General features: G+C 39.2%; 1 long non-coding RNA gene across 1 annotated transcript in view, besides 2 other annotated features; it reads right to left on the minus strand.

Annotated features, from left to right (window-relative positions):
- LOC100287944 (uncharacterized) overlaps positions 1-27860 on the minus strand; it is a 278422-nt gene that overhangs the window by 25889 nt on the left and 224673 nt on the right. The window lies entirely within an intron of this gene.
- Positions 13345-13844: an enhancer, noted in NCBI's record as "H3K4me1 hESC enhancer chr12:106929421-106929920 (GRCh37/hg19 assembly coordinates)". NCBI's record gives its function as "activates a minimal SCP1, AML or CMV promoter by ChIP-STARR-seq in primed H9 embryonic stem cells {active_cell/tissue: H9 hESC(primed)}" and the evidence as "EXISTENCE:reporter gene assay evidence [ECO:0000049][PMID:30033119]".
- Positions 18775-19364: an enhancer, noted in NCBI's record as "NANOG-H3K27ac-H3K4me1 hESC enhancer chr12:106934851-106935440 (GRCh37/hg19 assembly coordinates)". NCBI's record gives its function as "activates a minimal SCP1, AML or CMV promoter by ChIP-STARR-seq in primed H9 embryonic stem cells {active_cell/tissue: H9 hESC(primed)}" and the evidence as "EXISTENCE:reporter gene assay evidence [ECO:0000049][PMID:30033119]".

The following is a 27860-nucleotide window of genomic DNA, read 5'->3' on the forward strand; positions in this document are numbered from 1 at the left end:
TGAGCACGTACTAGGGGCTAATCCCTTTACGTAGAGGATCCCACTACCCAACCCTGCTAGGTTGACGTTATTCTCCTCCATTGTATTCCCTTCTAACCTGATGTGATTGGGAGAAATGTCTTAATACAAAATAATCCCTATGTGTAAGAAATGCAAAATCAATTTTGAGCTAAGCTTGTTATAGGCCCACTGCAGGGTAAAATTTTGTTACTGGGTGATCTATTAATCAATCTGATTATGGAGGATCTAGGGTGTGCATTCATAATCCCATTTTACTCATACCACAGCCCTGTGAGGTAAATATTATCTCAGTTTTGTGAGACTAAGTGATTTGCCCAGTGGTACCCAGTACTAAGTGCCTGAGCCAGACTTGGATCTAAGCCTACTCTACCACCTCTCCTCCTTTGTCAGAAAGCCCTGGAATGTTCTGCAGAATGTGTTCAAGGACCCAAACATGGTACGCCAGCCCATGGCCTCAGTGCTATCCAGGTACTCTTCAAATTCTTCTTCAGCAATGCAGAGTTTAGACCAGAAGCAACCTGTAAATAACGCTGAGTCATCCCTTTTACAGCAGGTCTAGGAAGACAGTCTCGTGTGTGTGTGTGTGTGTGTGTGTGTGTGTTTGTGTGTGTGTCTGTGTGTGTGTGCATGTGTGTTCATGTGTGTCTGTATGGTTTTTTTGGGTGTGTATGTCTGTATGTATGTGTGTGTGTCCATGTATGTGTGTGTTTGTGTGCTTTCATACTCTCCTGGCTGCTGCCAAGAGATTTCCTTGAACCTTGCACCTCCCTGACTTCAGGAGCAGCTTCTAATGATAAACCTTATTGGGACCCAAGTTGGAAGGCCACTGATCCCTCACTGCTGGGGCCACCATCTGGGTTTTATGGCCAAAGCCCATTCTGAGGAGATCTCTTGTATTAGGGATTTATACTTAGATACAGAAATGCCTCAATTTATGAAAACCCCAAACTTCTGAGACCCGGGTGCTGGAGATCCATAATTCCTTCCCATAGCAGGGGGTCCTTTAAATACAGTACTCTACAAAAAATACATGTCATTGTGGACCAACTACAGATAGGCACCAATAAAGTAGCTTAAGTTACTCATAATCTCATCACAAATAACAATTGTTAACATTTCAGTGTAGTCCATGCAGTGGAGTACTGTGCAGCTTTACACAGAAGACAGACAGTCGCAGCCCTACCTAGTAATACTGAAAGCTCTCTAAGTTTCACACTTGGAAGAAAAAAGAGACTTAGGAAATATAAAGTCTCATTTTTGTAAAAAAAAAAAAAAAAGTGATGGGTAGATGGATACATAAGTAGGTAGATATATAAATAGATGATAGACACAGAGAGGTGGGGAGAAAGAAAGAGATTTAGCAAGGTACAAAAATATGTCCGATTGGACAACAAATTGTTAAGAGTGGGATGAGGGAGGGAGAAGAGGAAGGACTTAGGAAAAGAACTTTCCTTGTTTTCTTTTTTGTTCAGTTATGTTTATTTCATGTACTTATTTTTGTATTTTATGACATCACATATGCATTACTTTATAATGTAAAATAATTTATAAAAGTAAAGCAAATTGGCATCCAAAACTTTTCTATATATAGTTATATAAATGCAGGCACACACACATACACACACAGACACACTTTTTCAACCTTAACCACAAAAAATTCCAAATATTTACAAAACTAGAGAGAATGGTATAGTGGACCCTCATCTATCCATCACCCAGTTGCAACGATTATCAACTCATTGCTAGGTTGGTATCCATGACCCCACCTATTTTCTCCTCCTAGAATATTTTGAAACAAATCCCAGGTTTACAAATTCATTTCACCCATAAATATTTCAATATATACCACTAAAGTCACTCTTAAAAAAAAAACCACAATACCATTGTCATAATAACAATTAACAATAGTCTCTTACTGTCATCAAATATCCAGTTTGTATTCAGATTTTCCAATCATCTCATAAATTTTTTTTCCAGATGTTAGAACTGGAATCCAAATAATTAACGTTAATAAATCTTTGAATTCTCTTACAGTCAGCACTGGTCTCTTCTATCTCCCAGGTCCCCATCTCCTTCTTTTATTTGCAATTTATTTCTTGAAGAAACCAGATCCTTTGTCATATAGTTTCCTATAGTTTGTACTTTGCCAGTTGCATTCCTTTAGTAGAGTTCAACATGTTTTTCTGTATTCTGTGTCTTCTGTAAGTCTGCAGTTAGAACTAAAGGCTCGATTGGATCAAGTTTGACTTTTGTGACAAGACTCATTCATAGGGGGTGTCGCCTTCCCACAGGAGGCACGCACGTTTTGTCCCTCTTTTTGTGATGTCAGCAGCCACTCGTGCACAATACTCCATTAATTTAATAGAGTTTGCAAAATGGTGCTATGCTCATTCTATCGTTTCTTCATTTATTAGCTAGGATACACCTGTTTAGAGAAACTTCCTTTCATCAATTATTTGCTTACCCAGAAGTTTATTTCATATAATAAAGGCTGGATACGTGTTTTATTCTTTTCCTTTACTTACCAGTTGTCAAAATAATGAGTTAGTTCCCTAGCATCCTTCAGTGGGAGCCAATGAGTTTGGGGGGGAATTCTTATGAACTCATGGACTAAACATATTGCATTGTCCCAATCCATTGCAGTTATTATTCTTCTGATGATCAGATTACTCCCTCTTTGGCCAAGACAAGCTGTTCAAAATGTCTCCTGAGCCCTTTTGATACAAACTCAGTAACACTTGGAAATTTCCTTGCTTCCAAGTATGACATGATGTTCCAGTCTCCCATTGTACATTTTCTGTCCCAGGCCTGAACCCAACCTTTTCTCTAAATGAGCCTAGTTTGTGTGTGTGTGTGTGTGTGTGTGTGTGTGTGTGTGTGTGTGTGTGTGAAATAATATTTCAAGACCACAATCTAGGTGTTAGGGAAACAGTACTGCTGAGCAGGTAATTGGTTCCAGGCCTTTTTGATGGTTAAAACTAAGATAGATAGATGAGACAGAGCGAGAGCAAGCTGTGGTCTGAAAGTGTCCCCTTCAAAATTCAAGTGTTGCCAATGTGATAGTATTAAGAGGTGGCTCCCTTGAGAGGTGATTAGGCCATGAGGGCGGCTCCCTCATGATTGAGATTAAGGCCTTTTTGAAAGAAGCCTTATGCCTTCTTTGGTGACCTTGCCCTTCTGCATTCTGCCATGCAAAGTCACAGAGAGAAAGTCCTCACCAGACTAAATGCTGGTGCCTTGATCTTGGGCTTCCCAGCCTTCAGAACTGTCAGAAATACATTTTTGTTCCTTGTACATTTCTCAGATATTTTGTTGTAGCAGCACAAATTGGCTGAGAGAGGGAAAGAAAGAGAGCGAGAGAGAATACATCAAGTTCATACCAATATTTCCCATTCTTATTCAGGACTACAAGGTTTTCTTAATTGCATCCATCTTACAGACAATCAAAATTTCCCCTTTCTCTCTCACTAAAACTCCCAGTACCAAGTTCTCAACAATACCAACATAATTACTTAGTTGCTGTCCCAGAATATATGCATAACTGTCTTAGAATAGCAATACCAACATTACCACCAACAATATGATTACTAATGAGAGTGTAATATATTTGTGGCTTTACAATTTTTTTTTTTTTTTTTTTTTAAACAGGGTCTTGCTTTGTTGCCCAGGCTGGAGTGTAGTGGTGTGATCTCAGCTCACTTGCAACCTCCGCCTCTTAGGTTCAAGGGGTTTTCCTGCCTCAGCCACCTGAGTAGCTGGGATTGCAGGCGTGTGCCACCACACCCAGCTAATTTATGTATTTTTAGTAGAGATGGGGTTTCACCATATGCTGGGAGCCACCACATCCAGCTACAATTCTTTCTGTTTCTATAGGATATCATACTAGGGATACACAGTCAATGACTGGTTGTATAGTAATTTAGAATTGTTCTCTGTGAGGTTATCACCAATAGTACGTAAAGTTAGGTTTATTTGTTTAATTTGATTTGGATTTTTAGGAATTTGATTTTTATTTAATTTTATTTTTTATTAAGGTGAAATATTTATGTGGCTTCAAAGTTAAATTTATAATGCAAGCCATATTAAAACAACTCTGGCTTCTATACCTGTCCTTGTTACCCTATAGGTAACCATTTAATTTTTATGTTAATATTTTTATTATTTTTAAAATACGTGCATATATTATCCTCCTTGAAAAACAGAAATATGCTACTACACCTTGATTTCTTCACCCAGCATTATATCCATGAGACTCCACCATAGCAGTATATAGAGAAATGGGTCTCTCTTTCAATGGGATCAAATATTACATACTGTTTTCCCTTTTTTCACTTATATCCCAGGAGCTTCTTTCCCTCTTTCCTTAAAGCTTTGAAAATACAAATTAGATTTAAAAATTTTTAATCTAATACTGGCCAGAAGGCAATTAATCTTGCCTGACATTTCATCCAGAGCTGGGAAAATAACTAGCCCACAAGCAGATCTAAAGAGACTGCAGGAGAAAGTTGTTTTAATTGTACTCAGTAGAGGCCAGTCCCTTCAATATAATGGCTATATTTGTGAGGGCTCATCTAGGATCCTGTACATGACACAGATGTGACTAAAGTGTTAAAAAGAATTACAGGTCTTTCAAATTCACCTCTTACATGTAAAGAATACAGAGTCTGTCATTTCTATTCTTGCAACGAGAAAAAATGGAATAAACTGAAAAGAAACAATTTTTCTTGGGCCCATCAGAGAACTGGGTATGTAGAGCAAATCGGTGCCCTGAAATCTAGAGACACAGAGGAATGCAGAAGACACATCTGAGATCTGCTTACCTGGAGCAGAAGCCAAGGGAGCCATAAAGTGGTGGGAAAATTTAAATGGTAATTTTCATGACTTCCTAGAAGGGAAGTGTTGACTAGCCTGAGAGTGAGAAGTTTCTGGGGCTTTTGGTTTTAGGAGTCCCTCACATTTTTGTGGGCTCTACCTCCAGTAAGCCCACCAGATTACCACGCTTAAGATGCCAGAAGGATCTCCTTACGGCTCTGGCAGGGGCAGGGGAAGAGTTATTGTGAAATACACCTAGAGTGTTCTCCATGACCAAGAACCTTCTAGCTTAAATCAGGAAGAATTAGATATCCTGAACCTTTCTCCAAGGGAAAGGACTATACCAGAGCTTTATCCCACTTGGCCGGAAGAGCATTCCTCCCTCTTTAGCTCCCTCTAACTTCCTCTGACTCAGAGGGGAAAATCTATGCCAATAGAGAAACACTTGTGACAGTCACAGGTCAGGGACGCAGCCCACTAGAACACTGAGATTTAATCATAAGGTTATAGAATGCTTCCCCTCCCCCACACCATACCACCACTCCAACAGGGCTCCAATACAATCACAGTGGATTATAGTTGAAAGAACTGCAAGACACAGACTCTCTGATGAGGGGTACTTAGGGAAGCCCAAAGTCAAGAGAGTAGACAAAACAAGAACACTAGAGGAATTTGAATCCCCTGACACCTATAGCTACAGCAAACATTACACACAGCCCAACTCCTAACCAGATTAACATAATCCTCACACCAAAGGCTCTGTTCCTATTACCCAGTACAACATGTCCTGTCCAACTTCAACAAAAAGCTACAAGCAAGAAAAAAAAAACACAATCTGAAAAAAAACAAAGCAAGCATCTGAACCAGACTCAGATATGACACAGATGTTGGAATTATCACAAAGAGAATTTAAAATAACTGTGATTAACATGTTAAGAGCTGTAATGCAAAAAGTAGCCAAAATACAAGAATAAATGGGCAATGTAAGAAGAAGAGATGGAAATTCAAAGAAAGAATTAAAAGAAAATTCTAGAGATCAAAAATATACTAACATAAATGAAGAAAGCCTTCACTGGGTTCGTAGAAGACTCAGCACAGCCAAGGAATGAATCAGTGAACTTAAAGATAGATCAGTAGAAACATCCTAAATAGAAATGCAAAGATGGGCCAGATGTGGTGGCTCATGCCTGCAATCCCAGCACTTTGGGAGGCCAAGGTGGGTGGATTACTTGAGGTGAGGAGTTGGAGACCAGCCTGGCCAACATGGTGAAACCCTGTCTCTACTAAAAATACAAAAATTAGCCAGACGTGATAGTGGGCACCTGTAATCCAGCCACTCGGAGGCTGAGGCAGGAGAATCACTTGAACCTGGGAGGCGGAGGTTGCAGTGAGCCAAGGTTGCACCATTGCACTCCAGCCTGGGCAACAGAGCTAGATTCCGTCTCAAAAAAAAAAAAGAAAAGAAATGCAAAGATGGAGGTGGGGAGAGAGGAGAAAATAGCAGAGCAGAACCTCCAAGAACTGTGAAAGAATTTCAGAATTTCTGAACATATGCATAATGGGATATCAGAGAGAGAACAGAGCAAAATAAATATTTGAAATGATAATGGCCAAAAGCTTTCCAAAATTAATCACAGACACCAAACCACAGATCCAAGAAGCTTGGCGAATACCAACTAGAATAAATACCAAAAAGCTATACCCAGGCATATAGTCTGTAGTCAGACTGCAGAAAAACAAAGACAAATAGAGACTCTTGAAAGAATCCAGAGGGGGAAAAGAATCTTCCCTGTAAAGGAACAAGGATAAGACTTACAATGGATTTGTCATTAGAAACCATGCAAGCAAGAAGAAAGTGGAATGAAATATTTCAGATGTTCAAAGAAAAAGACTACTGATCTAGAATTCTATATTCAGTAAAACTATCCTTCAATAGTGAAGAAAAATAAAGACTTTCTCAGACAAACAAAATTTGAGGAAATTCATCACCAGGAAACCTGCCCAATATGAATGTTAAAAGATTTTCTTCAGAAAGGAAATGACATAGTTCAGAAGCTTGCATCTACACAAAGAAAAAAAGCATTAGAGAAGGAATAAATGAAAGTAAAATAAAATACATTTCTTAATTGACCTAAAAAGTAATTTTTTAAAGAATAATAATTTATTGGTTGATTATAGTATATAGACAAGTGAAATAATGACAGCAACAACCTAAGGAATGGGTGATAGAATTGTGAATAAAACTGTTATTTTTAGAGTTCTTTTTTCATAAGTTATTAGGTTACAGGTGGTATTTGGTTACATGAGTAAGTTCTTTAGTGGTGCACCCATCACCCAAGCAGTATACACTGCACCATATTTGTAGTCTTTTATCCCTGGCCCCCTCCCACTCTTCCCCCCACGTCCCCACAGTCCATTGCCTCATTCTTATGCCTTTGCATCCTCATAGCTTAGCTCCCACATATCAGTGAGAACATACAATGTTTGGTTTTCCATTCCTGAGTTACTTTACTTAGAATAATAGTCTCCAATCTCATCCAGGCCACTGCAAATACTGTTAATTCATTCCTTTTTATGGCCGAGTAGTATTCCATTGTGTGTGTGTGTGTGTACATGTATGTGTGTGTGTGTATATATATATATATATACACACACACACATATATACACACATACATATACACACCACAGTTTCTTTATCCACTCGTTGATTGATGGGCATTTGGGTTGTTTCTATGATTTTGCAGTTGTGAATTGTGTTGCTATAAACATGTGTGTGCAAGTATCTTTTTTGTGTAATGACTTCTTTTCCTCTGGGTAGATACCCAGCAGTGGGATTGCTGAATCAAATGGTAGTTCTACTTTTAGCTCTTTAAGGAATCTCCACACTGTTTTCCATAGTGGCTGTACTAGTTTACATTCCTACCAGCAGTGTAGAAGTGTTCCCTGATCACCGCATCCAAGCCAGCATCTACTGTTTTTAGATTTTTTTTATTATGGCCATTCTTGCAGGAGTAAGGTGGTATTGCACTGTGGTTTTGATTTGCATTTCCCTGATCATTAGTGATGTTGAGCATTTTTTTTTCTTTCTTTCTTTTTTTTTTTTTTTTTTTTTTGTTTGAGACAGAGTCTCACACTGTCACCCAGGCTGGATTGCAGTGGTGCGATCTGGGCTCACTGCAAGCTCCGCCTCCTGGGTTCACGCCATTCTCCTGACTCAGCCTCCCGAGTAGCTGGGACTACAGGCCCCCACCACTACGCCCGGCTAATTTCTTGTATTTTAGTAGAGACAGGGTTTCACCGTGTTAGCCAGGATGGTCTCGATCTCCTGACCTCGTGATCCACCCGCCTTGGCCTCCCAAAGTGCTGGGATTACAGGTGTGAGCCACCGCGCCCGGCCAATGTTGAGCATTTTTAAAATATGTTTGTTGGCCATTTGTATATCTTCTTTTGAGAATTGTCTATTCGTGTCCCTAGCCCACTTTTTGATGGGATTATTTGCTTTTTTTTACTGATTTGTTTGAGTTCATTGTAGATTTTGGATATTAGTCCTTTGTCAGATATATAGGTTGTGAAGATTTTCTCCCAGACTGTGGGTTGTCTGTTTACTCTGCTGACTGTTCCTTTTGCTGTGCAAAAGCTCTTTAGTTTAATTAAGTCCCAGCTATTTATCTTTGTTTTTATTGCATTTGCTTTTGGGTTCTTGGTCATGAAATCATTGCCTAAGCCAATGACTAGAAGGGTTTTTCCAATGTTATCTTCTAGAATTTTTATACGTCATAGATTTAAGTCCTTAATCCATCTTGAGTTGATTTTTGTGTAAGGTGAGAGATGAGGATACAGTTTCATTCTCCAACATGTGGCTAGCCAATTATCCCAGCACCATTTGTTGAAAAGGGTGTGGTTTCCCCACTTTGTTTTCGTTTGCTATGTCAAAGATTGATTGGCTGTAAGTATTCGGGTTTATTTCTGGGTTATCTATTCTGTTCCATTGGTCTATGTGCCTATTTTTATACCAGTACCACACTGTTTTTGTGACCATGACTTTATAGTATAGTTTGAAATCAGGTAGTGTGATGCCTCCAGATTTGTTCTTTTTGCTTAGTCTTGCTTTGGCTATATGAGCTCTTTCTTGATTCCATATGAATTTTTGAATTGTTTTTTCTAATTCTGTGAAGAATGATGATGGTATTTTGGTAGGGATTGCATTGAATTTGTAGGTTGCTTTTGACAATATGGTTGTTTTCACAATATTGATTCTACCCATCCATGAGCATGGGATGTGTTTCCATTTGGTTGTGTCATCTGTGATTTCTTTCAGCAGTGTTTTGTAGTTTTCCCTGTAGAGGTCTTTTGACTCCTTGGTTAGGTATGCTCCTAAGTATTTTATTTTATTTTATTGCAGCTATTGTAAAAGGGGTTGAGTTCTTGATTTGATTATCTGCTTTGTTGCTGTTGATGTATAGAGGAGCTACTGATTTGTGTACATTAATCTTGTATCTGGAAACTTTGCTGAATTCTTTTATCAGTTCTAGGAGCTTTTTGGAGTCCTTACAGTTTTCAAGGTAAATGAGCATATCATCAGCAAACAGTGACAGTTTGACTTCCTCTTTACTGATCTGGATGCCCTTTATTTCTTTCTCTTGTCTGATTGCTTTGACTAGGACTTCCAGTACTATGTTGAAGAGGAGTGGTGAGAGTGGGCATCCTTGTCTTTTTCCAGTTCTCAGAGGGAAGGGTTTCAACTTTTCTCCATTCAGTATTATGTTGGCTGTGGGTTTGTCATAGATGGCTTTTATTACATTGAGCTATGTCCCTTGTATGCTGATTTTGCTGAGAGTTTTCATCATAAAGCGATGCTGAATTTTGTTGAACGCCTTTTCTGCACCTATTAAGATGATCATGTGATTTTTGTTTTTAATTCTGTTTATGTGGTGTATCACATTTATTGACTTGCATATGTTAAACCATCCCTGCATCTCTGGTATGAAACCCACTTGATCATGGTGGATTATCTTCTTGATATGTTGTTGGATTTGGTTAGCTAGTATTTTGTTAAGGATTTTAGCATCTATTTTCATCAAGGATACCATTCTGTAGTTTTCTTTTTTGGTTATGTCCTTTCCTGGTTATTTGGGTGATGCTGGCTTCATAGAATGAATTAGGGAGGGTTCCTTCTTTCTCTATCTTGTGGAATAGTGTCAGAAGGATTGGTACCAATTCTTCTTTGAATGTTTGGTAGAGTTCTGCTGTGAATCTATCAGGTCCTGGACTTTTTTTTTTTTAGTAATTTTTAAATTATCATTTCAATCTCACTGCTTATTATTGGTCTGTTCAGGGTATCTAATTCTTCCTAATTTAAGCTAAGAGGGTTGTATTTTTTCCAGGAATCCATCCATCTCTTACTAGGTTTTCTAGTTTATATGCATAAAGGTGTTCATAGTAGCCTTAAATAATCTTTTGTATTTTAGTGGTGTCGGTTGTAATATCTCCTGTTTTGTTTCTTAATGAGGTTATTTGGATTTTCTCTTTTCTTTTCTTGGTTAATCTTGCTAATCGTCTATCAATTTTATTTATCTATTCAAAGAACCAGCTTTTTGTTTCACTTATCTTTTGTATTTTTTGTTGTTGTTGTTTCGATTTCATTTAGTTTTGCTCAATCTTGGTTATTTCCTTTTTTCTGCTGGGTTTGGGTTTGGTTTGTTCTTGTTTCTGTAGTTCCTTGAGGTATGACCTTAGAATGATTGCTCATGCTACATCATTTTTTTGATGTAGGTGTTTAGGGCTATGAACTTTCCTCTCAGCACTGCCTTTGCCATATCCCAGAGGTTTTGATAGGTTGTGTCATTACTGTCGTTCAGTTTGAAGAATTTTTCAATTTCCATCTTGATTTCGTTTTTGACCCAGTGCTCATTCAGGAGCAGGTTATTTAATTTCCATGTATTTGCATGGTTTTGAAGGTTCATTTTGGAGTTGATTTCCAGTTTTATTCCACTGTGATCTGAGAGAGTGCTTGATATAATTTCAGTTTTCTTAAATTCATTGAGGCTCATTTTATGGCATATCATATGGTCTATCTTGGAGAAAGTTCCATGCACTGTTGAATAGAATGTGTATTCTGTGGTTGTTGGATGAAATGTTCTGTATATTTCTGTTAAGTCCATTTGTTCCAAGGTATAGTTTAAATCCACTGTTTCATCATTGACTTTCTGTCTTGATGACCTGTCTAGTGCTGTCAGTGGAGTACTGAAGTACCCCACTATTATTGTGTTGCTGTCTATCTCATTTCTTAGGTCTGTTAGTAATTGTTTTATAAATCTGGGGGCTCCAGTGTTGGGTGTATATAGGTTTAGGATTGTGATATTTTCCTGTTGGACAAGGCATTTTACCATTATATAATGTCCCTCTTTGTCTCTTTTAACTGCTATTGCTTTAAAGTTTGTTTTGTCTGATATAAGAATAGCTACCCCTGCTCACTTTTGGTGTCCATTTGCATGAAATGACTTTTCCACTCCTTTACTTTAAGTTTATGTAAGTTCTTACTTGTTAGGTGGGTCTCCTGAAGGCAGCAGATGGTTGGTGAGTTCTTATCCATTCTGCGGTTCTGTTTCTTTTAAGTGGAGCATTTAGGCTATTTACATTCAATGTTAGTATTGAGATGTGAGGTACTATTGCATTCACTGTGCTCTATGTTGCCTGTGTACTTTGGTATTTTTTGTTTTTTGGGTTTTTTTTTTTTTTTTTTTTTGCTTTTTAACTTGTATTTTTGTTTCATAGGTCCTGTGTGATTAATGCTTTAAAGAGGTTCTGTTTTGATGTGTTTCCAGATTTAGAGCTCCTTTTAGCAGTTCTTGTAGTGGTGGCTTGGTAGTGGCAAATTCTCTCAGCATTTGTTTGTCTGAAAAAGACTGTATTTTTCCTTCATATATGATGCTTAATTTCACTGGATACAAAATTCTTGGCTGATAATCGTTTTGTTTGAGGAGGCTGAAGATAGAGCCCAATCTTTTCTAGCTCGTAGGGTTTCTGCTGAGAAATCTGCTGTTAATCTGATAGATTTTCCTTTATAGGTTACCTGGTGCTTCTGTCTGACAGCTCTTAAGATTCTTTCCTTTGTCTTAACTTTGGATAACCTGATGACAATGTGCCTAGGTGATGATCTTTTTGTGATGAATTTCCCGGGTGTTCTTTGTGCTTCTTGTATTCGGATGTCTAGGTCTCTAACAAGGCTTTGGAAATTTTCCTTGATTACTCTCCCAAATATGTTTTCCAAGCTTTTAGAATTCTCTTCTTCCTTAGGAACATAGATTATTCTTAGGTTTGGTCATTTAACATAATCCCAGACTTCTTAGAGTCTTTGTTCATATTTTCTTATTCTTTTTTCTTTGTCTTTGTTGGATTGGGTTAATTCGAAGATGTTGTATTCAAGCTCTGAATTTCTTTCTTCTACTTGTTCAGTTCTATTGCTGAGACTTTCCAGAGCATTTTGCATTCCTATGTGTCCAATATTTCCTGAAATTTTAATTATTTTTTCTTTAAGCTATATATTTCCTTGATTATTTCTCCCTTCACTTCTTGTATCATTTTTTTGGATTTCCTTGCATTGGGCTTCACCTTTCTCTGGTGCCTCCCTGATTAGCCTAATAACTACCCTCCTGAATTCTTTTTCAGGTAAATCAGGGATTTCTTCTTGGTTTGGATCCATTGCTGGTGAACTAGTGTGATTTTTTGGGGAGTGCTAAAGAGTACTGTTGGGTCATATTACCAGAGTTGGTTTTCTGGTTCCTTCTCATTTGGGTAGGCTCTGTTTGAGGGAAGGTCTAGGGTTGAAGGCTGTTGTTCAGATTCTTTTGTCCTACAGGGTGTTCCCTTGATGTAGTACTCTCCCCCTTTTCCTGTGGATGTGGCTTCCTGTGAGCCAAACTGCAGTGATTATTGTCTCTCTTCTGGGTTTAGCCACCCAGCAATTCTAACCAATTCTGGGCTGGTACTGGGGGTTGTCTGCACAGACTTCTGTGATGACAACTATCTATGGGTCTCTCAGCTGTGGTTACCAGTGCCTGTTCTGGTGGAGGTGGCAGGGGGGTGCAATGGACTCTGTAAGGGTTCTTAGCTTTGGTGGTTTAATGCTCTGTTTTTGTGCTGCTTGGCATCCTGCTGGGAGGTGGCACTTTCCAGAGAATCAGCTGTGGTAGTATGGGGAGGAACCAGCAGAGGGTAGGGCCCTAGAACCCCCAAGATTATATGCCCTTTGTCTTCAGCTACCAGGGTGGGTAGGGAAGGACCATCAGGTGGTGGCAGGGTTAGGTGCTATGGCTGCTATGGGGGATGGGGGTGAGGTGCCCAGGTCAATGGAGTTGTGCACCTAGGAGGATTATGGCTGCCTCTGCTGAGTCATGCAGGTTATCAGGGAAGTGGGGGAAAGCCAGCAGTCACAGCCCTCACCCAGCTCCCATGCAAACTGAAGGGCCGGTCTCACTTCCACCATGCCCCTCTAACAGCCCTGAATCTGTTTCCAGGTGGTGGGCGAGCCGGGCTTGAGAACTTGCCCCAGGCTACCCACCTCCCAGCTGTGAAAGAAAGGGGCTTGGTTCTTCCCCCACCTGTGGAGTCTGCACACCGGATTCATACCCTCCCCCAAGTTCTAGCCAGGAGGCTTCTCACCCAGTTCAAATTGCTACAAAGTTAGCTGGAGATTTCCTTCTCCCTGTAGTGTTTCCCCTTGCACTCCACTCCTCTGGCTGCTGCCTTCCTGACGGATCCCTGTGGTGCCAGGCAAGAATGGCCTGCTTGGGGATCCAGCAAGCTCCCAGGGCCTTTCTGCTGCTTCCTGTACCCCTGTATTTCACTCAGCTCTCTAAATTGACTCAGCTCCAGGTACAGTTGGAAACTTCTCCTGCAAACAGACCTTCAGTTTCTCCAGTGGGGGTGTGTGTTCGGGAGAGGAGGCTCTCCCTTTCCCACTTCTGCAGTTGGGGCACTCACGGTATTTGTGGTGTCTCCCTGGTCCTGCAGGAGCAGTCCGCTTTTTTCAGAGGGTCTGTGGGTCCTCTCGGGATTGCTGGTTTGTTCTTGCAGTTGATCTGGAGCTAAAATTCATGATGCAAGCCTCAGCACGCTGCTCTGTCCGTCCGAGTCAGAGCTGCAATCTCTACTCTGTTATAAGGTATGTTCATTACCATGAAGTTATATAGTGAAGGTGAACTAGTTAAAACTGGCCAAAAGATCTGAACAGACATCTCAGCAAATAAGACATACAGGTGGCAAATAAGCATATGAAAAGATGCTTGACATCATTTGCCAATAGGAAATTAAAAATTAACAGTGAGATGCCACTACACATCTATAGAATGAAAAAAGTCCAAAAAACTGACAATACAAATTGCTGATGATGATGCAAAGCAAGAGGAGCTCTCATGCATTGCTGTGGTAATGCAAAATGGTATAGCCACTTTGAAAAACAGTTTTGCAGTTTCTTACAAAACTAAACATAGTTTTACCATATAATTCAGCAATCATGCTGCTAGGTATTTGCCTGATTTGAAAACATGCACACACAAAAATTCTACATGCGAATGTTTATAGCAGCTGTATTTGTGATTGCCAAAAAATGGAAGCAACCAAGATGTCCTTCAATAGGTGAATAGACATTCAAACTAAGATGCTTTCATGCAATGGAATATTATTCAACAATAAAAAGAAATGATGTATCAAGCCATAAAAAGACATAGATGAAACTTAATTATATATTGCTAAGTGAAAGAGTCTAGAAAAGGCAACAATTTTTGGTAAAAATGAAGTGGTAAAAACATCAGTGGTTGCTGGGGTTTGGAGACAAGTTGAAAAAGTGAAGCACGGGAGGTTTTTCCTCCATCCCAGGTGGAGAAATTTATTCCATATAATACTGTAGTGGAAAATACATACTATGCATTTGTTTAAAACCCATAGGACTTTGTAGCCCAAAGAATAAACCTTAATGGATGTAAAGTTTTAAAAAAAACAATTGGGAGGTTGAGGGATCCCAAGATGGAATGTAGAATACGACAAAAAAAACAAAAAAACAAAAAAAAAAACCTACCTGTATTACAAATGTATAATGCAGCGTCATTAAAGGAGGTAGGGAAAGGTGCTGACCTAAGTAGCTTTGGAAGTGAATCAAGTTTGTAAGGCTAAAGGCACAAGAAACTGTATATAAGCATTTATCCTAGTTCAGTCCTTCCCAACTCCTGGTCTGCAGACCGGTACTGGTCTGTGGCCTGTTAGGAACCGTGCCACACAGCAGGAGGTGAGCGGTGGGTGAACGTCACTGCCTGAGCTCCACCTCCTGTCAGATCAGTGGGAGCATTAGATTCTTGTAGGAGAGAATTTCATAGATTCTCATATTGTGAAGTGTACATGTGAGGGATCTAGGTTGCATGCTCCTTATGAGAATCTAATGATAAATGTAATGCTCTTGAATCATCCTGAAACCAGCCCCCTACTCCCATCTATGGAAAAATTGTCTTCCACACAACTGATCCCTGGTGCCAAAAAGGTTGGGGACCACTGATCTAGTTGATACAGTTTTCCCCAGGGAGTTGTGGGTTAACAATTCTGATACCGCTACACACTGTGGTTGAGCGATTAAGTGAATGATGGCATATGGTGGCAATCATATGGCATATGGTTTCTTGCTGTTGGAGTGGCAGAGGCAAGAGCAAGCCTAGAGGACCCTGAGGAGGCATGACTACTACATGTAATGTGTTACCTTGACTGGGATTCTGGAACAGAAAAAGGTCATTAGGAAAATATTAAAGAAATCTGGATAAAGAATTGACTTCAGTTAATAATAAATGTATCAATGTTGGCTCATTAATAAGTGTACCATACTGATGTTAGATATTAATAATAAGGGGGACTGGGTATTAGGTATATATGAACTTTGTATGATCTTTGTAATTGTATTGTAAATTTAAGCTGTTCTAGAATAAAAGGTTTATCTTTAAAAATTACAGGAAGTGAATAATTTAAACTGAAATTTAATCATGTATGGCAGTAAAATAATAAATGAAACAATTTTGAATGTTAAAATTAAAAAACCACAATGAAGTATCAATATAACCATTAGAATAACTAAAATGTTTTAATATGACAATTACAATTGATGGTGTTGGTGATGATATAGGGACATTGGAACTCTCATACATTGCTGATGGGAGTGTAAAAGGGAGTGTAAAAATCCATCTTTGGAAAGCTGTTTGATGGTTTCCTATAAAGTTATATATGCAATTACCATATGACCCAGCAATTTCACTTCAAGGTGTTTATCCAAAAGATATGAAAGCATATGTACACACAAAGATTTGTACCAAAATATTCATATGAGTTTTACTCGTAATAGCCCAAAACTGGTAGCCACCCAATAGATAAAAATGGCTAAACAAGTTGTGGTATATTTATAAAAAGGAATACTACTTAGAATTAAAAAATGAACAAACCTACATATATATGCAACAAACTAGATCAATATAATAAAAGCATTATACTGAGAGACCAGGCGTAAAAGAGTAAGTATTATGTGATTCAATTTTTATGAAACTTTAGGAAAGACATGTCTAATCTATAGTGATAAAAAGCAGATCAGTGGTGGTGTGAGGCTGGGAGCAGGGGCAATTGATTGAGAAGGGGCAAAAAGGAACTTTTTAGGATAATGAAAATATTTTTATTATGGTAGTGATTATACAGATGTATATCTTTATCAAGATTCATTCATCTATACAGTTAAAATGTGTGCATTTTCTTGTGTATAAATTGTTCCCTAGTGAGGTTGACTTTTAAAGAGGATTAGAGAAAAAATGACATTATTTTATAATGTGAGTTCAAAGGAGTTTTTAAACCTGTAATTCAAATAATTAGATGTAAAAGGACATTTAAGGGTATAAAGCTGTATAAAGCCATATAAAGGATATTTAAAGGTATGAAGAGAAATACTAGAACAGCTAAAAATCATTATAAAATTAAATGTTAGTGATAGAAGGAAGAGACAATAAGGAGGTGGGAGGAGGTGAACACATACTAACTTTTGTATTGCACATAGTCAAAAGCCATTAATTGCTATTTAAAGAGAACAATATTTAATAATTAATTTTATAAAATTAAATCACTAAAATAACTTTTAAAAGGATGAACCACTAAAATAACAAAATAACCCCAAAAATCTTCCCAATCATCAGAAAAATGCATTCACAGAATGAATGAAATACAGATAACACAAATCACACGTGTATTAGTCAGTTTTCACACTGCTATAAAGACAACCTGAGACTGGGTAACTTATAGAGAAAAGAGATTTAATTGACTCACAGTTCCACATAGCTGGGTAGGCCTCAGGAACCTTACAATCATGGCGGAAGGGGAAGGGGCATATCTCAAATGGCAGCAGGCAAGAGAAGAGTGTGTGTAGTGAAGGGGGAAGAACCCCTTATAAAATCATCAGATCTCGTGAGAACTCACTATCACAAGAACAGCAAGGAGGGAACTGCCCCCATGATCCAATCATCTCCCACCAGGTTCCTCCTTGACATGTGGGGATCACGAGGATTACAATTCAAGATAAGACTTGGGTGGGGAGACAGTCAAATCATGTCAACATAATAAAAATATTTTTTAAATGAATAAAAAATACATAGTATAGCATAAGATATAATTTAAAAACTGAACACCAAATGTACCTGTTGTATCCATAGATTTCACTGGATAAACTAACTTTTTAAATAGAAAATATTCAGGCTATACCACAAAGCAAATCTGAGCCATTTGCACTAGTGAGCCAACACAGAAAACCATGGAAACCTAGGAAGTTTGAAATATAATGTATTAGGTTGTTTCTGTATTACCATACAGGAATACCTGAGACTGGGTAATTTATAAAGAAGAGACATTTAATTGGCTCACAGTTCTACAGGCTGTGTAAGCATGGCACCAACATCTGTTCAACTTCTGGGCCTCAGGAAGCTTACAATCATGGCAGAAGGCAAAGCAAGAACAGGTACATCCCATGATAAAAGCAGGGGTAAGGTTGGGGGATGTGAAGGTGCCATACTCTTCTAAACAACGAGATCTTGTGTGAAGTACAAGAGCAAAAACTCACTCATCACCAAGGGAATGGCACTAAGCCATTAATGAGGGATCTGCCCCATGATCAAAATTCCTCTTACCAGGCCCCACCTCCAACACTGGGGACTGCATTTCAACATGAGATTTGGAGGGGACAAACATCCAAAGCACACCATTCCACCCTTGGCTTCTCAAATCTCATGTTCTCCTAACATTGCAAAATACAATCATGCTTTCCCAACAGTTCCCCAAAGTGTTAACTCATTCCAGCATTAATTCAAAAGTCCCAAGTTAAGTCCAAAGTCTTATCTGAGATTCAAGGCATATTTCTTCCACCTCTGAGCCTGTAAAATCAAAACCAAGCTATTTGCTTCCAAGATACACTGGTGGTACAGGCGTTGAGTAAATATTCCTATTCCAAAAGGGAGAAATCAGCCAAAAGAAAGGGGTTTCAGGCCCCACACGTCTGAAAACCAGCAAAGCAGTCGTTAAATCTTAAGGCTCCAAAATAATCTCCTTTGACCCCATGTCCCACATCCAAGGCACACTGGTGCAAGCAGTGGACTCCTAAGGCCTTGGGCATGTCTTCCCCTGTGGCTTTGCAGGGTGTGGCCCCCAGGTCTGCTGCCATAGTTTGGAGTTAAGTGCCTGTGGCTTTTCCAGGCTGAGGTTGCAAGATGCTAGTGGCTCTACCATTCTTGGGTCTGAAGGACAGCAGCCCACTTGCCACAGCACCACCAGGCAGTGGCCTGGTGGGGACACTCTGGGGGGGTTCCAGCCCACATTTCCCCTTGGCACTGACCTAGTGGTGGCTCTGCCCCTGTGGCACATTTTTGCATGGGCACCCAGGCTTTTCCATACATCCTCTGAAATCTAGGTGGGAGCTCCCAAGCCTTGTTCATGCTTGCATTCTGTATGCCTGCAGGCTTAACACCATGTGGAAGCCACCAGGGCTTATGGCTTGCACCCTCTTGAGCAGTGGCCTAAGCTGTATCTGGGCACCTTTAAGCTGAGGCTAGACCTGGAGCAGCCTGGATGTGGGGAGCAGTGTCTTGAGGCTGTGGAGAGCAGTGGGGCCCTAGGCCTGGCCTATGAAACCATTCTTTCTAGGCCTCTGGGCCTAGATGGGGGGTGCTGCCTCAAGGATTTCTGAAATTCCTTCCAGGCCTTTTTCCCCCTTTGTTTTGAATATTAGCACTTGGCTCCCTTTTAGTCATGCTAATCTCTTTAGCAAGTGGTTGCTCTGCAACCTGCTTGGACTCACTCTACCACAGTGCCAGGTTGCAAATTTTCTAAACTTTTATGCTCTGCTTGTCTTTTAAATATAAGTTCCAGGGCCAGGCACAGTGGCTCATGCTTGTTATCCCAGCACTGTAGGAGGCTGAGGCAGGTGGATCACTTGAGGTCAGGAGTTTGAGACCAGCCTGGCCAACATGGCAAAACCCCATCTCTACTTTAAAAAAAAAAAAAAAAAAAATTAGCCATGCATTGTGGTATACACGTGTAATCCCAGCTACTCAGGATGCTGAGGCTTGAGAATTGCTTGAGCCCAGGTGGTAGAGATTGCAGTAAGCTGATATCATGCCACTGCACTCCGGCCTGGGTGACAGAGCAAGACTCTGTCTCAAAAAAAAAAAAAAAAAAGTTCCAACTTTAAGTCATTTCTTTACTCCCATGACTGATTATAGGCTGTTAGAAGCAGCCAGGTCACATCTTGAACACTTTGCTGTTTAGAAATTTCTTCTGCCAGATATCCTAGGTCATCACTTCTAAGTTCAAAATTCCACAGATCCCTAGGACCCAAACATAATACAGCCGAGCTCTTTGTCAAGGCATAACAAGGGTGACCTTTGCTCCAGTTACCAGTAACTTTCTCATCTGAGACTTTGTCAGCCTGCCCTTCATTGTCAATATTTCTATCAGTATTTTGGTCACAACCATTTAACCAATCTCTAAGAAGTTCCAAAGTTTCCCTCATCTTCCTGTCTTCTTCTGAGCCCCTCAGAACTCTACCAACCTCTGCCTGTTACCCAGTTCCAAAGTTTCTTCCACACTGTCAGGTATGTTTATAGTAACACCCCACTCTCAGTACCAATTTTCTGTATTAGGCCATTCTTGCATTATGATAAAGGGATACCTGAGACTGGGTAATTTGTAAAGAAGAGAGGTTAAATTGTCTCATGGTTCTGCAGGCTCTACAAGCATGGCACCATTATCTGCTCAGCTTCTGGTGAGGGCCTCAGGAAGCTTGCAAACATGGCAGAAGGCAAAGTGAGGGCAGATACATCACATGGCAAGAGTGGGAGCAAGACAGAAAGAGATGGGAGGTGACATGTTCTTTTAAATAACAAGATCTTGTGTGAACTACCAGAGCAAGAACTCATTTATAACCAAGGAGATGGCACTAAGCAATTCATGAGGTGTTTGCATGACCCAAACACCTCCCACCAGGCCCCACCTCCAACACTGGTGATTGCATTTTAACATGAGATTTGGAGGGGATAGACATCCAAACCATATCATAGAGATACAGGGCAAAATTTAGAGAAATATAAACAAAGAAAGCAAAAATTATCACTCAATAAAACTTAGAGCAAAAAGCATATGGGATGAGTAAAGGCAATTTTTAATAATAGGTAAACTGTGAAATAAAGGCCTTGCATTTATACTTATTCATACACCAAATACATATCATCTAAATTCATAAAGCAAAAATATAAGGAAATAAAAGAAGAGGTAGAAATAGAAGTAGGGGCCAGGCGCAGTGGCTCAGGCCTGTAATCCCAGCACTTTGGGAGGCTGAGGCGGGTGGATCACCTGAGGTCAGGAGTTTGACACCAGCCTGGCCAACATGATGAAACCTCATCTCTACTAAAAATACAAAAAATTAGCTGGGCATGGTGGTGTGCCCCTGTAATCCCAGCTACTCGGGAGGCTGAGGCAGGAGAATCGCTTGAACTCGGGAGGTGGAGGTTGCAGCGAGCTGATTGCACCACTGCACTCCAGCCTGGGCAACAAGAGGGAAACTCCATCTCAAAAAAGAAAAAAAAAAGAAATAGAAGTAGGATACTTAATATCTCTCAGTCTATGTAGATATCATTTAAAAATAAATAAGCTCATTGAAGGCCTAAATAAAATACTTTAGGAAAGTTTAATGTATTGAACTCTACACAACCAAAGCAAGTAGTCAGTATCTTCTCAGAAGCCATGCAAAACACAACAGTATCCAGTCACAATGCAAGAAAGGTCAAATGATAAAACTAGAAAACAGAAAACAAAAAACTACCACAACTATTCAACCAAAGAGGAAATCAAAACAAAAAGCCAGAATAATTAGAAAATGACAATAATAAAAATATTTCCTTGAACTTATGAGATAGGACCAAAGTTGTATAGAGAAAAATTCATAGCCAAAGACATTAATAGTAATAAATAATTAAGGATTAAAATAAATTAACAAGATAGAAAACAAAAACAGAAAGAAAAACTAATGTAAAGACAGAATTTAATGTACTAAAATGTTAAATTGGTCTAAAAAATAAGAGGAATTTTCTAGATAAAAATAAGAACCTAATCAAGAAAATGAAAAAGCATAAAAACACAAAGTCATAGAGATGATAAAAATAATCTGAGGGTAAACTAAAAAATTATATGAATCTTATGTTTTAAGTGGCAAAAAAAAAGCTTTTCCTCTAAAATCTGGAACAAGACAAGGATGCCCACTTTCACCACTTTTATTCAACATAGTACCAGAAGTCTTAGGGCAATTAGGTGACAGAAAGAAATACAGGATATCCAAACTGGAAAGGAGGAAGTCAAACTGACTTTGTTTGTAGATAACATAATCTTATAGAAAACTCTACAGACATCACCAAAAATCTTAGAACTAATAAACAAATTCAGTAAAGTTACAGGATATAAGATCAATGTACAAAAACCTGTGGCATTTTTATATACCAGTATCAAACTATCTGTAAAAGAAATTTAAAAAGCAACTCCATTTATATTAGCTAAAAAACTCCCAGGAATAAATTTAACCAAGGAGGTGAAAGAGCTCTACAATGAAAACTCTAAAGCATTAATTTAAAAAATTTGAAGAGAATACAAATAAATGGAAAGCTATCCCATGTTTGTTGATTGGAATAATTACTATTGTGAAAATATCCACAGTATTCAGAGTGATCTACAGATTCCATGCAGTCCCTATCAAAATACTGATGACATTCTTCACATAAATATCAAGACATCCTAAAATTTGTATGAATGACCTCAAATGGTCAAAACAATCTTGAGAAAAAAAAAAGCAAAGCTAGAGGCATCACACTACTTGACTTCAAAATATACCACAAAGCAATAGTAACCAAAAGATCATGGAACTGGCATAAAAACAGGCACATAGGCCGGGCGCGGTGGCTCACGCCTGTAATCCCAGCACTTTGGGAGGCCGAGGCGGGCAGATCACGAGGTCAGGAGATCGAGACCATCCTGGCTAACACGGTGAAACCCCGTCTCTACTAAAAAATAGAATAAAATTAGCCGGGCATGGTGGCGGGCGCCTGTAGTCCCAGCTACTCAGGAGGCTGAGGCAGGAGAATGGCGCAAACCTGGGATGCGGAGCTTGCAGTGAGCCGCGATCGCGCCACTGCACTCCAGCCGGGCGACAGAGCGAGACTCCGTCTCAAAAAAAAAAAAAAAAACAGGCACATAGACAAATAGAATGGAATAGAGAACCCAGAAATAAATCCATACATTTATAGCCAAATGATTTCTGGCAAAGACACCAAGAACAAATACTGGAGATGAGATAGTTTCTTCAGTAAATGATGCTGGGTAAACTGGATAGCCGTATGCAGAAGAATGAAACTAGACTCCTGTTTCTCACCACCTATCCAAATCAACTCAAAATGGATTAAAGACTTAAATGTAAGATGGCAAACTATAAAACTACTAGAAGAAAACATAGAGTAAATGTTTCATGACATTGGTATGGGCAAATACTTTTTTTATAAGACTCCAAATGCATAGGTAACAAAAGCAAATATAGACAAATGGAATTACATCAAACTAAAAAGTTCCTTCACATCAAAGGAAATCATCAACAAAGTGAAGAGACAATCTACAGAATAAGAGAAAAATATTTGCAAACTATGCATCTCACAAGGGACTAATATCCAGAATATGTTAGAAATGCAAACAACTCAATAGCCAAAAAAAAACAAAAAAACAAAACAAACCCACACCATTCTGATTTAAATACAGGCAAAGGGGCCAGGCACGGTGGCTCATGCCTGTAATCCCAGCACTTTGGGAGGCTGAGGTGGGTGAATCACAAGGTCAAGAGATCAAGACCATCCTGGCCAACATGGTGAAACCCCATCTCTACTAAAATACAAAAAAATTAGCTGGGCGTGGTGGCATGTGCCTGTAGTCCCAGCTACTCAGGAGGCTGAGGCAGGAGAATCGCTTGAACCTGGGAGGCAGAGGCTGCAGTGAGCTGAGACTGCACCACTACGCTCCAGTCTGGCGACAGAATGAGACTACTTCTCAAAAAAAAAAAAGGAAAAAGAAAAAAAAAGAAAAAGATCTGAATAGACATTTTTCCAGAGAACACATACAAATGCTAACAGGTATATGGAAAAGTACGAAACATCATGAATCATCAGAGAAATTCAAGATGTCACTTTACACTTGTTTTTTTTTTTTTTATTATATTTCAAGTTCTAGGGTACATGTGCACAACGTGCAGGTTTGTTACATATGTATACATGTGCCATGTTGGTGTGCTGCACCCATTAACTCGTCATTTACACTAGGTATTTCTCCTAATGCTATCCCTCCCCCCTCCCCCAACCGCACGACAGGCCCTTGTGTGTGATGTTCCCCACACTGTGTCCATGTGTTCTCATTGTTCAATTCCCACCTATGAGTGAGAATATGCGATGTTTGGTTTTCTGTCCTTGCGATAGTTTGCTGAGAATGATGGTTTCCAGCTTCATCCATGTCCCTGCAAAGGACATGAACTCATCCTTGTTTATGGCTGCGTGGTGTTCCATGGTGTATATGTGCCACATTTTCTTAATCCAGTCTATCACTGATGGACATTTGGGTTGGTTCCAAGTCTTTGCTATTGTGAATAGTGGGGCAATAAACATACATATGCATGTGTCTTTATAGTAGCATGATTTATAATCCTTTGGGTATATACCCAGTAATGGGATTACTGGGTCAAATGGTATTTCTAGTTCTAAATCCTTGAGGAATCACCACACTGACTTCCACAATGGTTGAACTAGTTTACAGTCCCACCAACAGTGTAAAAGTGTTCCTGTTTCTCCACATCCTCTCCAGGACCTGTTGTTTCCTGACTTTTTAATGATTACCATTCTAACTGGTGTGACATAGTAGCTCATTGTGGTTTTGATTTGCATTTCTCTGATGGTCGGTGATGATGAGCATTTTTTCATGTGTCTTTCATGTAAATATCTTCTTTTGAGCAGTGTCTGTTCATATCCTTTGCCCACTTTTTGATAAGGTTGTTTGATTTTTTTCTTGGAAATTTGTTTAGGTTCTTTGTAGATTCTGGATATCAGCCCTTTGTCAGATGAGTAGATTGCAAAAATTTTCTCCCATTCTGTAGGTGGCCTATTCACTCTGACAGTAGTTTCTTTTGCTGTGCAGAAGCTCTTTAGTTTAATTAGATCCCATTTGTCTATTTTGGCTTTTGTTGCCATTGCTTTTGTTTTAGTCATGAAGTCCTTCCCATGCCTATGTCCTGAATGGTATTGCCTAGGTTTTCTTCTAGGGCTTTTATGGTTTTAGGTTTAACATTTAAGTCTTTAACCCATCTTGAATCAATTTTTGTACAAGGTGTAAGGAAGGGATCCGTTTCAGCTTTCTACGTATGGCTAGCCAGTTTTCCCAGCACCATTTATTAAATAGGGAATCCTTTCCCCACTTCTTGTTTTTGTCAGGTTTGTCAAAGATCAGATGGTTGTAGGTGTGTGGTATTATTTCTGAGGGCTCTGTTCTGTTCCATTGGTCTATATCTCTGTTTTGGGTACCAGTACTATGCTGTTGTAGTTACTGTAGCCTTGTAGTATAGTTTGAAGTCAGATAGTGTGATGCCTTCAGCTTTGTTCTTTTGGCTTAGGATTGTCTTGGCAGTGCAGGCTCTTTTTTCGTTCCATATGAACTTTAAAGTAGTTTTTTCCAATTCTGTGTGGAAAGTCGTTGGTAGCTTGATGGGGATGGCATTGAATCTATAAATTACCTTGGGCAGTATGGCCATTTTAATGATATTGATTCTTCCTATCCATGAGCATGGAATGTTCTTCCATTTGTTTGGGTCCTTTTTTATTTTGTTGAGCACTGGTTTGTAGTTCTCCTTGAAGAGATCCTTCACATCCCTTGTAAGTTGGACTCCTAGATATTTTATTCTCTTTGAAGCAATTGTGAATGGGAGTTCACTCATGATTTGGTTCTCTGTTTGTCTGTTATTGGTGTATAGGAATGCTTGTGATTTTTGCACATTGATTTTGTATCCTGAGACTTTGCTGAAGTTGCTTATCAGCTTAAGGAGATTTGGGGCTGAGACAATGGGGTTTTCTAAATATACAATCATGTCATCTGCAAACAGGGACAATTTTACTTCCCCTTTTCCTAACTGAATACCCTTTATTTCTTTCTCCTGCCTGATTGCCCTGGCCAGAACTTTCAACACTATGTTGAATAGGAGTGGTGAGAGAGGGCATCCTTGTCTTGTGCCAGTTTTCAAAGGGAATGCTTCCAGTTGTTGCCCATTCAGTATGATATTGGCTGTGGGATTGTCATAAATAGCTCTTACTATTTTGAGATACATCCCATCAATACCTAGTTTATTGAGAGTTTTTAGCATGAAGGGCTGTTGAATTTTGTTGAAGGCCTTTTCTGCATCTATTGTGATAATCATGTGGATTTTGTCTTTGGTTCTGTTTATATGATGGATTACATTTATTGATTTGCATATGTTGAACCAGCCTTGCATCCCAGGGATGAAGCCCACTTGATCATGGTGGATAAGCTTTTTGATGTGCTGCTGGATTCGGTTTGCCAGTATTTTATTGAGGATTTTTACATTGATCTTCATCAGGGATATTGGTCTAAAATTCTCTTTTTTTGTTTTGCCTCTGCCAGGCTTTGGTATCAGGATGACGCTAGCCTCATAAAATGAGTGAGGGAGGATTCCTTCTTTTTTCTTTTGATTGGAATAGTTTCAGAAGAAATGTTACCAGCTCCTCTTTGTACCTCTGGTAGAATTCAGCTGTGAATCCATCTGGTCCTGGACTTTTTTTGGTTGGTAGGCTATTCCTCAATGTCAGAGCCTGATATTGGTCTATTCAGGGATTCAATTTCTTCTTTGTTTAGTCTTGGGAGGGTGTATGTGTCCAGGAATTTATCCATTTCTTTTATGTTTTCTAGTTTATTGCTTAGAGGCGTTTGTAGTATTCTCTGATGGTAGTTTGTATTTCTGTGGGATCGGTGGTGATATCCCCTTTATCATTTTTTATTGCGTCTATTTGATTCTTCTCTCTTTTCTTCTTTATTAGTCTTGCTAGTGGTCTATCTATTTTGTTGGTCTTTTCAAAAAACCAGATGCTGGATTCATTGATTTTTTTGATGGGTTTTTTGTATCTCTATCTCCTTCAGTTCTGCTCTAATCTTAGTCATTTCTTGCCTTCTGCTAGCTATTGAATATGTTTGCTCTTGCTTCTCTAGTCCTTTCAATTGTGATGTTAGGGTGTCAATTTTAGATCTTTCCTACTTTCTCCTGTGGGCATTTAGTGCTATAAATTTCCCTCTACACACTGCTTTAAATGTGTCCCAGAGATTCTGGTACGTTGTGTCTTTGTTCTCATTGGTTTCAAAAAACATCTTTATTTCTGCCTTCATTTCGTTATGTACCCAGTAGTCATTCAGGAGCAGGTTGTTTAGTTTCCATGTAGTTGTGCGGTTTTGAGTGAGTTTCTTAATCCTGAGTTCTAATTTGATTGCACTGTGGTCTGAGAGACAGTTTGTTATCATTTCTGTTCTTTTACATTTGCTGAGGAATGCTTTACTTCCAACTATGTGGTCAGTTTTGGAGTAAATGTGATGTGGTGCTGAGAAGAATGTATATTTTATTGATTTGGGGTGGAGAGTTCTGTAAATGTCTATTAGGTCTGCTGGGTCCAGAGCTGAGTTCAAGTCCTGGATATCCTTGTTAACTTTCTGTCTCTTTGATCTGTCTAATGTTGACAGTGGGAGGGTAAGTCTCCCATTATTATTGTGTGGGAGCCTAAGTCTCTTTGTAGGTCTCTAAGAACTTGCTTTATGAATCTGGGTGCTCCTATATTGGGTGCATATATATTTAGGATAGTTAGCTCTTCTTGTTGAATTGATCCCTTTACCATTATGTAATGGCCTTCTTTGTCTCTTTTGATCTTTGTTGGTTTAAAGTCTGTTTTATCAGAGACTAGGATTTCAACCCCTGCTTTTTTTTGTTTTCCATTTGCTTGGTAGATCTTCCTCCATCCCTTTATTTTATGCCTATGTGTGTCTCTGCACGTGAGATGGGTTTCCTGAATGCAGCACACTGATGGGTCTTGACTCCTTATCCAATTTGCCAGTCTGTGTCTTTTAACTGGGGCACTTAGCCCATTTACATTTAAGGTTAATATTGTTATGTGTGAATTTTATCCTGTCATTATGATGTTATCTGGTTATTTTGCTCCTTAGTTGATGCATTTTCTTCATAGCATCGATGGTCTTTACAATTTGGCATGTTTTTACAGTGGCTGGTACTGGCTGTTCCTTTCCATGTTTAGTGCTTCCTTTAGGAGCTCTTGTAAGGCAGGCCTGGTGGTGACAAAATCTCTCAGCATTTGCTTGTCTGTAAAGAATTTTATTTCTCCTTCA

This window comes from Homo sapiens, chromosome 12, assembly GCF_000001405.40.
Source record: "Homo sapiens chromosome 12, GRCh38.p14 Primary Assembly".
In the NCBI taxonomy this organism is placed as follows: Eukaryota; Metazoa; Chordata; class Mammalia; order Primates; family Hominidae; genus Homo; species Homo sapiens.